Source organism: Homo sapiens, chromosome 2 (assembly GCF_000001405.40).
Source record: "Homo sapiens chromosome 2, GRCh38.p14 Primary Assembly".
NCBI classification, from domain to species: domain Eukaryota; kingdom Metazoa; phylum Chordata; class Mammalia; order Primates; family Hominidae; genus Homo; species Homo sapiens.
The window spans coordinates 135,265,910-135,280,599 of NC_000002.12; the positions used below are offsets into that span (position 1 = coordinate 135,265,910).

Sequence of the window (14,690 nt, forward strand, 5' to 3'; positions counted from 1 at the left end):
TAAAGTAAACCTGAAACACGCCAGGTGCAGTGGCTCATGCCTGTAATCCCAGTACTTTGGGAGGCCAAGGGGGGCGATCACCTGAGGTCAGGAGTTTGAGACCAGCCTGCCCAACATGGTGAAATCCCATCTCTACTAAAAATAGAAAAATTAGCCGGGCGTGGTGGCAGGCGCCTGTGATCCCAGCTCCTTGGGAGGGTAAGGCAGAAGAATCCCTTGAACTCAGGAGGCGGAGGTTGCAGTGAGCTGAGATCCTGCCACCGCACTCCTGTGTGACACAGTGAGACTCTGTCTCAAAAAAGCTGACCAGCATTAACATTAAAATAGAGATCTTAAGGCTGACAAAACAGACTCTTTGTAGCAACAAGATGCCAACATGACAGATAGCAGGCCCTAAAACAAATTGAAACCTTTTACTCCCTAACATATTTCTTTTGTATGAAATGGCTCTGCAGAGCTGTCTTTTGTGGGAAAAATTTACATTCTGTAGAGAATCCCCCTTCCATTCCAGGTCTTTATCCTGATCCAGGAAAGAATTAACTAAGGAGTCTGGCACCTTTTAAAGTCTAATAAGAGGCCAGGAGCGGTGGCTCATGCCTGTAATCCCAGCACTTTGGGAGGCTGAGGTGGGCGGATCACAAGGTCAGGAGTTCGAGACCAGCCTGGCCAATAAGGTAAAACCCCATCTCTACTAAAAATACAAAAACCAGCTGGGCGTGGTGGCGGGCGCCTGTAGTCCCAGCTACTCAGGAGGCTGAGGCAGGAGAATCGCTTGAACCCAGGAGGCAGAGATTGCAGTGAGCTGAGATCACGCCACCATACTCCAGCCTGGGCGATAGAGCAAGACTCCATCTCTTAAAAAAAAAAAAAAGAGTCTAATAAGAAACATTTACAATCTATTCTGTCTGAAGCCTGCTACCTGGATGCTTTACCTGCCTAAGAAGAACCTTGGTCTCCACAACTCCTTATCTTAACCCAGGTATTCCAAGTCTTCAGATAAACTCTTTCAACCAACTGCCAATCAGAAAATCTTTGAATCCACCTATGATCTGGAACCAATGCCTCCCTCCACCCCACCTTGCATAAAACCAAGCTGTAGCCCAACCATCTAAGGCACAAGTTCTCAGAATCTCCTGGGGCTGTGTCATGAGCCACTGTCATTCATATTTGGCTCAGAATAAATCTCTTAAAATATTTTACAGTTTGACTCTTCATTGACATCTAGTCTGTTTTCTTTTGCTTATAACAGAATATCTGAAATTGTGTAATGTGTAAAGAAAATGAACTTATTTCTTATGGAAGCTGAGAAGTTAAGGTTGAGGGGCCACATCTGGTGAGGGCTTCTTGCTGGTGGGTACCTGCGGAGTTCTGAGACAGCACAGGTCATCTCATGGGGAAGGGGCTGAGTGGTGCTAGCTTAGGTCTCTCTTCCTCTTCCTATAAAGCCACCAGTCCCACTCCTATGATAACCCATTAATCCCTCAATCCATGAATGGATTAATCCATTCATAAGGGCAGAACCCTCATGACCCAATCATTTTTTTTCTTTTTTTTAGAAGAGGGTGGGAAAGAAGGTCAATCATCTCTCTTAATGGCCCACCTCTCAATACTGCCACAGTGGGGATTAAGTTTCAAAGTAAGTTTTAGAGGGAATGAACATTCAAACCATAGCAATAATTATCCAAAATTATAATCCATTACCCAGTCAATGGTTCCATGCTTAATGAGAAAAGGTTTAACTGGAGAAGTTATACTATTCACTTTCTTCATAAAAACTTTTATTCTAATATTTATATGCTTTGAAACTTAACCAACATATGATCGGCCATTTTAAATATTTATATCCAGTGCTTAAAAAACATTTCATTGAAAAACAGTGCTATGGGCTGAATGTTTGTATCCCCCCCAAATTCAGATGTTAAAATCCTAACTCCCAATGTTGATGGTGTTCGGAGGTGGGGCTTTTGGGAGGTGATTGGGTCATGAGGGTGGAGCCCTCATGAATGGGCTTAGTCCCCTATAAAAGAGACCCCAAAGAGCTTTCTTGCCCTCTTTCCACAATGAGAAAGCAGTAGTCAGCAACTTGGAAGAGGGCCCTCACCAGAACTCAACCATACTGGCATCCTAATCTCAGACTTCTAGCCTCCAGAAGTATGAGAAATAAATTTCTGTTATTTATAAACTACCCAATATAGATTGGTACTTTGTTATGGCTGCCCAAACAAACTAACCCAGAAATAATCTAACCCTTTTTTTTTTCTTTTGAGACAGAGTCTTGCTCTGTCACCCAGGCTGGAGTGCAATTGTTGCAATGGTGCGATCTTAGCTCACTGCAACCTCCACCTCCTAGCTTCAGGCAATTCTCCTGCCTCAGGCTCCCAAGTAGCTGGGATTACAGGCACCTGCTACCATGCCCAGCTAATTTTTTTGTATTTTTAGTAGAGACAGGGGTTCACCATGTTGGCCAGGCTAGTCTCGAACTCCTGACCTCAGGTGATCCACCCATCTCGACCTCCCAAAGTGCTGGGATTAGAGGCATGAGCCACCACGCCCAGCCAGAAATCATCTAATCCTTAGTCAAGTCCTTTCTATAAACATTGTCAAGACTGAGGAAATGAGACAGCTGAGAGGACAGAGCAAGCAATGTCATTCCTACATTTTCTAGAGTCTGGGTACAGGCTACCTTCTGTCCAAAATTAGCTTGGAACTCAAGAATTCTTCTAGAAAAGGTTTATTCTTAGGTTACGCAAAGGACTTGGGGCTTGAAACATTACGTTTCCTTGCTAGCCAACCCCATCATTGTACCTCTAAAGTAGTAGAAGGGCTTGGAAGATAACAGGAGTACGTGGAAGTTCATGCCTCTCTTATTACAGAGGAGAGCAGACAAGGTACTACTACTGAAGCCTTTTCTTAACTTGGTCTCTATTATCATCATTATCTTGATGTGCTTAAGTATCCTTTGCCTGAAAACACTAAAACTCAGCCTCTTAACTCACATTGGCTATGGTTAATAGTAAGTAAGCTGCTAACTTGATTTAAATTCAAGCTTTACCTTGCGATTCAACATTCCCCACATAAGGGTGTCTAGGGTTCCATTTGCAATAAGGTAGTGAATATTCACAGAACTGCACTGGCCAATTCTGTGAGCTCGGTCTTCTGCTTGTTTTATATGTCCAGGGTCCCAGTACAACTCAGCAAATACAACATGACTTGCTGCAGTAAATGTTAATCCCTAAGTGAAATAAAGCAAATAAATTGAGAATGTAACATACAGCCAATATATAATAAAGTATTTCTGAACATGTTAAATGGAGAACACTGAAGGACTTGAAAACAAATTAGTTGTCTATTTTAGGCCAAATTAAGATTTAATTCATGAAAGGCAAATGAAGAATGTTTAATGCAACATAGCTAGGTGAACTACAAAAAACACATTTGAAAGGTATTTCAAAATTTCAAAAGTCAGCTTGATGTAAGTATATAAACTAAATCACTTTATTCTCTGATGATGAACGGATTCACATTACCACTGGAAAATCTAATAAAATACTTTATAAATGAGAATACAATTTCCAACATATGGTATCTATAGCAACCAGGCAGAGAGCATTTACATCCTCTTCATCTAACTCACACTGTCATGTTATAAAGCAAGAAAACAACGTCTCTGGTTATACTACTTTCTTCCTGTGATGTTATATTCCGAAGACCTGAAATTTACTGCCTATGTCTCAATATATACAATGCAATTGCATTTTCTGTACAACTGCATTTTCATGAATTTGAAATAGTGTGACATAAAAATATTAACTAAGTCTTGCTTTATAATCAATATATGAAATAATGCAAAATCCTCAAACTAAAAAATGTGTCAAACTAAAAAATGTGTCCAAAAATGCATGACTTTAATGTTGGTAGGCTGAATGAAATGTGAACCACGCTTATGCTATAGCCATATAGCAGTAAAATGACATTAGGTGGTAAACAGAAATATCTGCCTTTTTTTGAGTATTATTTAATCAATGCTGTTTGTTGTTCATATGCACCAAACTCCTATGAGTGACTTTTGTGACTGCTATGCTATTATTTTGATATGTTATTTTCACTTAAAATATTTTCATGTCACATAACAAAATCATGCTAGCATTAATTAAATGGTGGTACTAGTTCTCAAGCTGAAAAATTTACTGAAAATCAGTCTCTGAAAAAGAAGTTAGAGGTAATAAAAATACAGAGACAAATATATTAAACTGTACTGCTATTTAGGACTGAAAATGCCACAGAATATTAGAAATAATGCTGAAAAAATAAAAAGTAGTATTTAAGGAGAGACATCTTTAATTTTATAAAAAACATCATTTGATTATACAAGCATAAAGGGAAAATATGTTGGCAAGATCAATACCACTCTAAGCAGCTGCTAAACTATAATGTAAGATTCACAGTACCAAGAACAAAGACCTTTCTACTTTCCTTTATTCCTATGGAGATATCAGTCCTCAAGTATATGAGTCTTGATTTATATAAGGTCTTCAGAAGCACAGCCTTGAATAAAATGTAAGTGCCCCATACATTATTAATTTCAAAAGGTCCTAGACTCTCCTGTCTGGCTTTCTCCTACTTAGCACCTCCCCAGCTCTAAGTACTTCATTTCTAATTCTAAGCCCTTTTTGATGATATTCTCTGTGGCTGGAACAGTCTAACAGATAAATAACTCCGATTATTGGAAGTTTAACTGAACATGAGGGAAGCATTGAGACAACCCTCCTTTTGGTTAGAACTCCCAGAGAGTTGTGGAACTGCTTCATCCTCATAAAGTTTCTCTCTGTATATAATTTTATATACTTTAATTAGCCGAGTAAAAGCAGATCTTTGGCATGTACCAGCTTGGCTGAACAGCAGTATGCTCAATTACTTTTCCCTATGTTAAATATCCTAGCTTAGACATTTACAACAAAGTATTTTAGAATGCTGGCAGAAAAACAGTCCAGAAGATCCCCTCTTACCTACTGTGGCAGAGACTGCCATTACTTTCCCTAATATCTATCCTTCTCTTATTCCTTTGTAACATAACACCCAATTTTTAGCAGGGCTACGTGGAATAAAGAATACTCTTCCGAGCTTCCCTTGAAATTAGGTGTGGTTGTGGGACTAACTATAAGAGATGCAGTGTGCTTTTCTCCAGGCAGCTGCTTAGACTGCAGATAAGATGGAGCTCTAGCAGCCCTTTTAGATAAGACATACTTGCTAAGAGTGGTAAAGCAGAAAGCGAGAAGGGGTATAGGTCCTAAGGACTTTGTGCAAACATCAGGCTAGGCCTGGACTGTCTACATAAGAGAATTAAACTTTGTGTATTTAAGTCAGTCTTAATCTGAATTTCTGTTTACTTGCCTTCAAACTTAATCCTAAGGGACAAAACAGAAGCACTCCATAAAAAGTCCTGAGACAAGAGTTCTTTTCCCCCAGGCCACCTTGTCATACAGGTCCTAATGCAACACAATCAAGTAAGTGAAGGGTTGGATATAAGACAGGTATAAGAAAAGCCTATACAAATTCAAAGGAAGGAAAAAAGGTCAGGCAAAAATATTACAATCAAATTAACTATACTCTTCTTACTCTTCTTTGAAAGTATATTCTTTCAAAGACATCCTTTCCTTGAAAATTTAGGAGATCTGTGTCAAAGACATCGAGGCCTCTTTCTATTATACTTTCTGGAACTCTCTGAAGAAGAATTACTATTTATTATACAAGGCATCCAGATACAAAGTTACAAGTTTATAAACCAAAGTTATAGTGAATGGCCTTTTTTCTTATTTCAATGACATTTCATAACCAAATTTAGACTTGAAATTTCTTACCTGGCCAGCAGCCTGAATGCTTAGGATAGCCACGCGAGTGTCAGGATCCTTTTGAAACTGATTAACCAGATGTATTCTTTCTGAAGATGAAACACTTCCATCTATCCTAATGTAACGAGTCTAGCATCAACAAGGAAAACGGCAAAATTAGGACAAGGCCCTATGTACCCATCTCATTTTATATATTTTACAGCTTATTTTTATGGTCACATAACAAAATGGAACTTGGTTAAGGTGACAGATTGGTAAATGTTATACAAGAAGAATCTTAACCAAGATTTTTAATAGCTTCTTATAACAATTTCTTATTTTTTTAATCTTTTAAGCTACTTGAGGGTAGAGTCTATGTCTAATTCATCTTTATCCCATCAATGCCAAGGGCAATGCCTTGTATATAGCAGAAGCTCCACAAATCTTTTATGAATTAAGCTAATGTTGTCTTCAGTAAAATTCTACGTAAATTGACACGCAAACTTTAAACCATGGATCAGACTAACTCTAAAGTTATAAGATCACTAATTCTAAAGTGAAAATACAGCCAGACATGTGAGAAAAGAGAAAGATGATTCTGCCCACAAATCACGGATTCATGAAGAGTAGTACATTTATTTCTGAAATATCCCAAATATTAACTGGGAAAATAGAGCTTTTTTTTTTTTTTTTTTGTGACGGAGTCTTGCTCTGTCACCCAGGCTGGAGTGCAGTGGTGGGATCTCTGCTCACTGCAAGCTCCGCCTCCGGGTTCACGCCATTTTCCTGCCTCAGCCTCCTGAGTAGCTGGGACTATAGGCGCCCGCCACCACGCCCGGCTAATTTTTTGTATTTTTAGTAGAGACAGGGTTTCACAGTGTTAGCCAGGATGGTCTCCATCTCCTGACCTCGTGATTCCCCCGCCTCATCGCTCCCGGCTGGAAAATAGAGCTTTTAATTCTGGTTTTTCACATTATTAAACTTTAAAGAAATATGTGATATGGTCATCTCCAGAGAGGTGGGGCACTGAGGCACCCACACACATTTTTGAAAAGTAGGGAAACATTAAGTGTTAAACCGAACATTGTTGTCTTTAAGAATGATTTGAGTTGAGACAAGGGGGTTATCACTATGTGTTAGAATAGCTAAAAAGAAGTTATTATTGGCCGGGCGCGGTGTCTCACTTCTGCAATCCCAGCACTTTGGGAGGCCGAGGAGGATGGATCACGAGGTCAGGAGATCACGACCATCCTGGCTAACATGGCGAAACCCCATCTCTACTAAAAAAATACAAAAAAATTAGCTGGACGTGGTGGCGGGCGCCTGTAGTCCCAGATACTCGGGAGGCTGAGGCAGAAGAATGGCGTGAACCCGGGAGGCGGAGCTTGCAGCGAGTGGAGATCTAGCCACTGCACTCCAGCCTGGGCGACTGAGCGAGACTGTCTCAAAAAAAAAAAAGAAAAAAAAAAGAAAAAAAGAAATCATTATTCAACTTCTAAAAATGATAACTCCTAAATTTCAAAAAACCTTATTCATGTATGTAGTGCCATAGAAAATATAGCCTTAAATAGTTGGAACATATGAATATTCACTTTTATAAGGGAATATCCAAGTTAATTATTAAAAAGAATGTCCCGTATTAACGTTCTGTCCTCAAAGAGCAAGTATACATTAACCAGTAAACCATTTAATAGCCATTAAGGAAGATTATAAAATTCTCTCAGGGTCTTTCTAAAGAAAATACATTGTCAGGGTAGGAAAAGTTGGGGAAAAATTCACCTCCAACCCCATGAATATCTACATTTTTTTTTTTTTGAGACGAAGTTTTGCTCTTATTGCCTAGGCTGGAGTGCAATGGCGGGATCTCAGCTCACTGCAACCTCTGCCTCCTCCTAGGTTCAAGCGATTCTCCTGCCCCAGCCTCCCGAGTAGCTGGGATTACAGGCATGTGCCACCACGCCCGGCTAATTCTTATTTTTAGTAGAGACAGAGTTTCTCCATGTTGGTCAGGCTGGTCTCGAACTCCCGACCTCAGATGATCTGCCCGCCTCGGCCTCCCAAAGTGCTGGGATTACAGGTGTGAGCCACCGCACCTGGCCTATATCTACATTTTTAACTCTTAGTAAAGCTAAATGGGATTCTAAACATATCAGTAAAATGGATGTAAGAAAAAAAGACTATTATACTTGGAATCGATCCCAGTAGTTTTAAGGTATAATGGAATCAGAATAAGAAAAATATTACGAATCTAATTTCTTGCCCAATCATTTAAAAAATATTTAGGTTAATTAACTCTTAGAGGGTGTTTTTCAGAAACTATATGATAACCAATGAGAAAGTACCTTTTAATGTATAGCACTTTATTATAACTCTTCCTATGAAGGAAACACTAGAAGTATGTCTTTGGTAATATTAATGAACATATTACCTAATGTTTAAACAATGTATACTAAGTTTTTATCTTTGATAGAAACAAAGGAAGATGTTGTCACTCACTGGTGGACTATTGGAAATCAAGGTAGACCTAAGAAGATGCAGTAAAGCCACATGGCTTGATGGAGCTAACCTGATAAATTACTTGGGCCATATGTTTCAAATACATCTACACTAAATTTTAGTAATCATTTTCCATATATTGCCTGGAAGTTTAAATAGTATGACTGCAGTTGGGTACTAACATTGGCCAAGTTCATTCTTTCTTTCCTCTCTATGTCACCCACATTCAAAGGCCACTGTGTAGGTAAATAAAAAGTCTAACGTTTAACTGTCTACACCACTCTAAAACGGTATATCCAGGAACAAAAATAAAATTCACATTATAGCCTATCATGGCAGCATATCTTTTTTTTTAGCAACCTTTTTTTAAATTTTTTTAATTTATTTTTTATTTATTTATTTTTAGTATTTATTGATCATTCTTGGGTGTTTCTCGCAGAGGGGGATTTGGCAGGGTCATAGGACAATAGTGGAGGGAAGGTCAGCAGATGAACAAGTGAACAAGGGTCTCTGGTTTTCCTAGGCAGAGGACCCTGCGGCCTTCCGCAGTGTTTGTGTCCCTGGGTACTTGAGATTAGGGAGTGGTGATGACTCTTAACGAGCATGCTGCCTTCAAGCATCTGTTTAACAAAGCACATCTTGCACCACGCTTAATCCATTTAACCCTGAGTGGACACAGCACATGTTTCAGAGAGCACGGGGTTGGGGGTAAGGTTATAGATTAACAGCATTCCAAGGCAGAAGAATTTTTCTTAGTACAGAACAAAATGGAGTCTCCTATGTCTACTTCTTTCTACACAGACACAGCAACAATCTGATTTCTCTATCTTTTCCCCACATTTCCCCCTTTTCTATTCGACAAAACCGCCATCGTCATCATGGCCCGTTCTCAATGAGCTGTTGGGTACACCTCCCAGACGGGGTGGCGGCTGGGCAGAGGGGCTCCTCACTTCCCAGAAGGGGCGGCCGGGCAGAGGCGCCCCCCACCTCCCGGACGGGGCGGCTGGCCGGGCGGGGGCTGCCCCCCACCTCCCTCCCGGACGGGGCGGCTGGCCGGGCGGGGGCTGCCCCCCACCTCCCTCCCAGATGGGGTGGCTGGCCAGGCGGGGGCTGACCCCCACCTCCCTCCCAGATGGGGCGGCTGGCATGGCAGCATATCTTTAATCAATCCAGATAATTTGGTCAGTGGAAAATTATGAGATCAGTTAAGAAAAGAGAAAATTTAATAGTATATAATCATCATCATATAATATTAATATAATTTTCAAGAAAAATGTGTGATAATTTATATACCATCATCTAAAGAAGACAAAAAACACCTCAACTATGAGACTACAACTGATGTTTAGTATAGTAAAAATATGCATTCTAAAAAGTATTTAGTTAAAAAATGGCAACATACCTTATTTTCGATGACTGCTTCTGTGCAAGCTTGGAGCATGCTTAAATGGTGAGCAAAAACCAGAAATTTAAGCGAATCATTCTGAAGCATCATCTTAATATAATCCTTTACAGCACCTGCCTAAATATTAAAAGGTAAACCTTATTAGTGTCATAAAAATGATTATTTAAAATTTATGTCACTTTTAATAAAGCAAGAAAAATGGCTTGAAAATCAGTAAATATGAACTTTTAGCTGCATTGTTCTCTAGGTAGCCTAAGGAAGTAGAAGCCCACATATAAGGAAAATGTAAAAGAAGAGGGACAAGAAGGGGAAAAACTGAGCAATTAAATGAGAAGAAGACAAGAATTAGAAGAATTAAAAAACAACACAACAATGGGTTTCAATGGAAAGGAGGTAGTCAAGTAGGCTATGGCCAAGAAGGAGTTGGCAGTTTTGTTTAGAAGGTGATTTTCAAAAAAGTTTATATATAAGACCAAGTAGAACAGAGTTAAGGAGAAAACAGAAAGCAAAAAAATCAGATGAAGAGCATTTTTTTTTAAAAGGGAAGATTGAAAACAGTAAGAAATCAGGGACTGAAGCTTAAGGTTTAAGGAAAGTTTTTTTTTTTTTTTTTTTACTTAAGAAACTTAGGTAGACTTACAAATAAGCAGTTCAAGGAGTACACAGATTAAGAGAAATGGAAATGAGGTCATTTAGCTTATCTCTGGGATGGAGAAGGTTCCAGAAGAGGCTGGAGTGATGGGATGAAGACAACGGTAGTGAGGTCTGAGAGAACAGGGGGACATATAGAACAATTATGACACAGAAGGAAGAAAATTTAAAAAGTTCAGATTAACAGGTAACTTGAGGCCAAGTTACTTACTAAGAGTGAAAAATCAATTTGATATGAAGCAAATACGAATTAAAGAGGATAGCATGAATTAAGTTTAAAATCTATGTATCTTTTAACTTTTAAAAACTGGTTATGTAGAAATTGTGGAAAAAGATACCAGGCTGACCACATTTAACTTCTGCTCCTTCTCAATGCTATGTTTAAAAGATAGCAAGTGTAAAGGGACAAAGAGAACTGGAGAAAAGTCAATAGCAACAAAACTTTGGAAGCTAAAAAGCAGATAATGACTGATAACTGATTAACCAATCTCACAGATCCTAAACTGGCTATGGAAAGTGGAGAAGCACTTGATTTACGTTGCAGTCACCTAAAAAGGTTCAGAAAATGACACCTCTGGAATGGGGGGTAGGAGTGTGGTTAGGAGGACCTGCTGAAATAATGTTTAAGTAGTTGATTATGTGCAATACTGCTATTTACCTTCTCTCTACCTATTCCATATAATAGGTAACTACCATAACCATTCTGGTAGAAAACTACAGACTTATTCTCTGGAGTGGATAAAATAGAGGGTATTTGGATGGAGGAATCCTATATTGATGATAGGTATATCCTACAAAACTCATGGGGATTACATGAAAGTTACAAAATAAATGCTGAGATCTGCCCCTCTGTCCCAGCCTTCTTTCCCCTATACTTCCCAAAACAGAAACAGGCTTATGTCCTTCAGGCAAGAGAGCAGAATCATATAAAGTGATTCTTTTCTAAGGAATCTGACCAGCCAAGAGAAAAAACTAAAGATACTGCTATCAGGGGTTTCCCAGGGAGACATCCCATTCAGATCACCATTTATTGAAGGCCACAGTCTATAAATTGTATACATGCGCAGAGCTTCTAGTCAGTGGTTAGTGTCTTTCTTGTAAATATAAGCAACCAACCAAAGATCAATAGATATTTGTAGAAAGCAACATGTATGAACGGATCACATATACAGAGCTAAGAAAACTGGAAGAGATTGCATTTATAAAACAAGATCAGTATGCTACAAAAAAAACAGATATAAAGAAGAAAAACAGTACTATCAGAAATGAAAAATATAATAGCAGAAATGGATAATTCATTGGTTATTAAGCTAAGGAAATCTCCCAGAAAGTAAACAGAAAATATAAAATATAGGCCAGGTGCGGGGGCTCACGCCTGTAATCCAAGCACTTTGGGAAGCCAAGGCGGGCAGATCACTTAAGGTCAGGAGTTCAAGAACAGCCTGGCCAACACGGTGAAACCCCGTCTCTACTAAAAATACAAAAATTAGCTGGGTGTGGTAGCACGTGCCTGTAATCCCAGCTACTTGGGAGGCTGAGGCAGGAGAATCGCTTGAACCTGGGAGGTGGAGGTTGCAGTGAGCCGAGATTACACCACTGCTCTCCAGCCTGGGCAACAGTGAGACTCTGTCTCAAAAAAAAAACAAAAAAAAAAAACAAATATAAAATGTAAAATAATTAGGTAGGGGATCAGGTCATGAGGGCAATATATGAAAATATATGAATAATAAAAGTCTCAGAAAACAAACAGAGAAAACTAACAAAAATCATCAAAGAAATAAAGTTCTACATAACTGAAGGGCATGAGTTTCCAAAATGAAAAATGGAAAAGACCCACTACGTGTCTTTCACATTGAATGAAAATAGACCCAGAACGAGGCTCATTATCAAGAAATTTTAGAACACTGGGACAAAGAAATGATTCTATAAGCTTCCAGAAAAGCGAAGAAAAGATTTCATAGAATCAAAATAGAATAACAATTCTGAATTGTATTGGATTTCTCAATACCAATACCAGAAATGAGAGAAAATGATTTCCCCATTTTTATATCCAGCTAATTAAAAATCAGATAGAATAGTAATATTTTCAAATATGCAAGGAATGCAAATAATTTGCTTCCAATATACCATTTCTTGGGAGGCTACTGGACAAAATGCTCCAACAAAACAAGGAAGTAAACAAAGAAAGAAAATAATATATAAAGGAAAGAGGTAAAAATCTCCAGGATGAGAGCTCTGCAGCAGGCCTAAAGAGTAACAGTTCAGACTGGAGCTAATCAGAAGGAATCAGGTGAAATTTCTTTAAGAAGATGAGATTAATACAATGCTTAATGTTTAAAGATATTGGGAGGAGGTTAAATAACTAGGGGAAACTTTGAGGATGGATTAGTGACAACTACACAGAAAACTAATAAAAGAAGAAAAGAAAAACCTTTATAATTATTAATGCCAAAGAAAATAAAATGAGTTGTGGAAGAAAACGTATCCATAGCATACCATGTTTCACCTGTAAATGTTATAAATATGGTTCTAATAATAAACATGGTGAATACTGATCAAGCCAAAATTGGTAATAAGTTCCTATATAATCAGTAAAACTATGATTATGACTTTCATGGAAGGATGGAAATAACAGGAAGATATGTGTGTGAGAGTGGGGCAATAGGGGACAGGGCTAAAATTTAATCTTCCGTATTAAGAAGCCAATTGATGACAGCTAAAATTACAAAGCAAATAGTAATACAAACAAAGCAGCAATATAAGTATGGTGTTGAGGGATTTGAAGTAAATACTAAAAAAAAAATCAGCTGAAAGAAAAGAAGGTTGTTGCCTTTGAGAAATAAGGTTAGGGGACTGTTATTTTTTGGATCTCTGGTCATTAAACTATGATACTATGTAGCTTTGGCAATAATAAAAAATTAAAAAGGAGGCATTTCAAAACTGAAAAATACCTACTTAAAATTCATACATATGACTATAAAGTCACATGACAGATTCTGCAAACTACATTTTGCATGTCTAAGTTTTCTAAACCACAGAAATTCATCATACAATGAGAGTAGGGGCTGTTAAGAACTTTAGCCTTGGATTTCAGTGCCTTGGAAAGTGGAAGTGAAGTACTGTCAAAATAAGGAGCTATAAATTCTGGATATGTTGTCATGGCAACTGAACCACTTTAATAAAGTGCATATTTGCCTAAAGAGCTATATTTACTGTGATAAGCCTTTCAAAATGTACATGTCAAGATGGAGTACTTTTAAGGTACATTCATTACTATCCAGTCCAGACTTACAAACTATATAATTGCTAAACCTCTAGTCTCGGATGGATTCCCCCTCCTCTTCCCAAGTGAGCAATTTTTCTTAGAGTCTCCTCCACTGATATCACCTGCTTCCATCACAACCAGAGATGCCAATGCCAAAGTTCAAGCCCCCCTTTTCCCACTCCTTTCCACTAGTGCTTCAAAAAGGTTTACGGTTACTAACATTATTATAAAGTTCAATTACATAACTGACTAAATAGGCTCTTAGGACTAACAAAGCAATTTAACCATCATTTGTGATATTGCTTTTTAGGAGAAAATGTGTTGGGAATACCAAAACATCAAAAGTAACAAATGAACTTTTGGGATTCTCTTAGGTTCTTAAGATGGGGATTACATAGATTTTCATTTTAAAATGTACTATGCATGCATTTTAACTATTTTGATTTTATCCTAATAAAAACTATCACTGCATCATCAGATTTTAAATTATCTGAACAGGAATTTGCTTCCAAACGATCTTAAGTACATAGTATGTGGAATAGCAGGTCCTCATAATAATCAGCATCTTGGTAGTGTCGGTTCAGGTTTCACAGAAGTTGCAGAAAATGCATGTATTCAAAACTCTATTTTATTTTACTAGAATTGATCTGTTAGTAATAAGCCTGTTAGTCGAAGATCTAATTTAAGTAATTAATGAAGACTATACATTATATCTTATTTAAAAAAATGCAGGCCAGGCGTGGGGGCTCATGCCTGTAATCCCAGCACTTTGGGAGGCCAAGGTGGGTGGATCACCTGAGGTCAGGAGTTCGAGACCAGCTTGACCAACACGGAGAAACCCCATCTCTACTAAAAATACAAAATTAGCCGGGTGTGATGGCACATGCCTGTGGTCCCAGCTACTCGGGAGGCTGAGGCAGGAGAATCATTTGAGCCCGGGAGGCAGAGGTTGCGGTGAGCTGAGATCACACCATTGCACTCCAGCCTGGGCAACAAGAGTAAAACTATCTCAAAAAATAAATAAATAAATTAAATAAAATACAAC

General features: G+C 38.4%; 1 protein-coding gene across 3 annotated transcripts in view; it reads right to left on the reverse strand.

The window, feature by feature from the left end:
* The window catches only part of ZRANB3 (zinc finger RANBP2-type containing 3), a 334,250-nt gene that overhangs the window by 68,941 nt on the left and 250,619 nt on the right, over nucleotides 1-14,690 (reverse strand). For 2 of the 3 annotated variants that reach the window (NM_032143.4, NM_001286568.2), the window contains exons 9-11: nucleotides 9,727-9,846; nucleotides 5,859-5,978; nucleotides 3,053-3,232 (exon numbers count right to left, since the gene is read on the reverse strand). In NM_032143.4, the coding sequence (NP_115519.2) occupies nucleotides 3,053-3,232; nucleotides 5,859-5,978; nucleotides 9,727-9,846 (420 nt within the window). Of the gene's footprint in view, nucleotides 1-3,052; nucleotides 3,233-5,391; nucleotides 5,487-5,858; nucleotides 5,979-9,726; nucleotides 9,847-14,690 lie in introns of all 3 variants that reach the window. The other variant, NM_001286569.1, reaches the window with a different exon arrangement.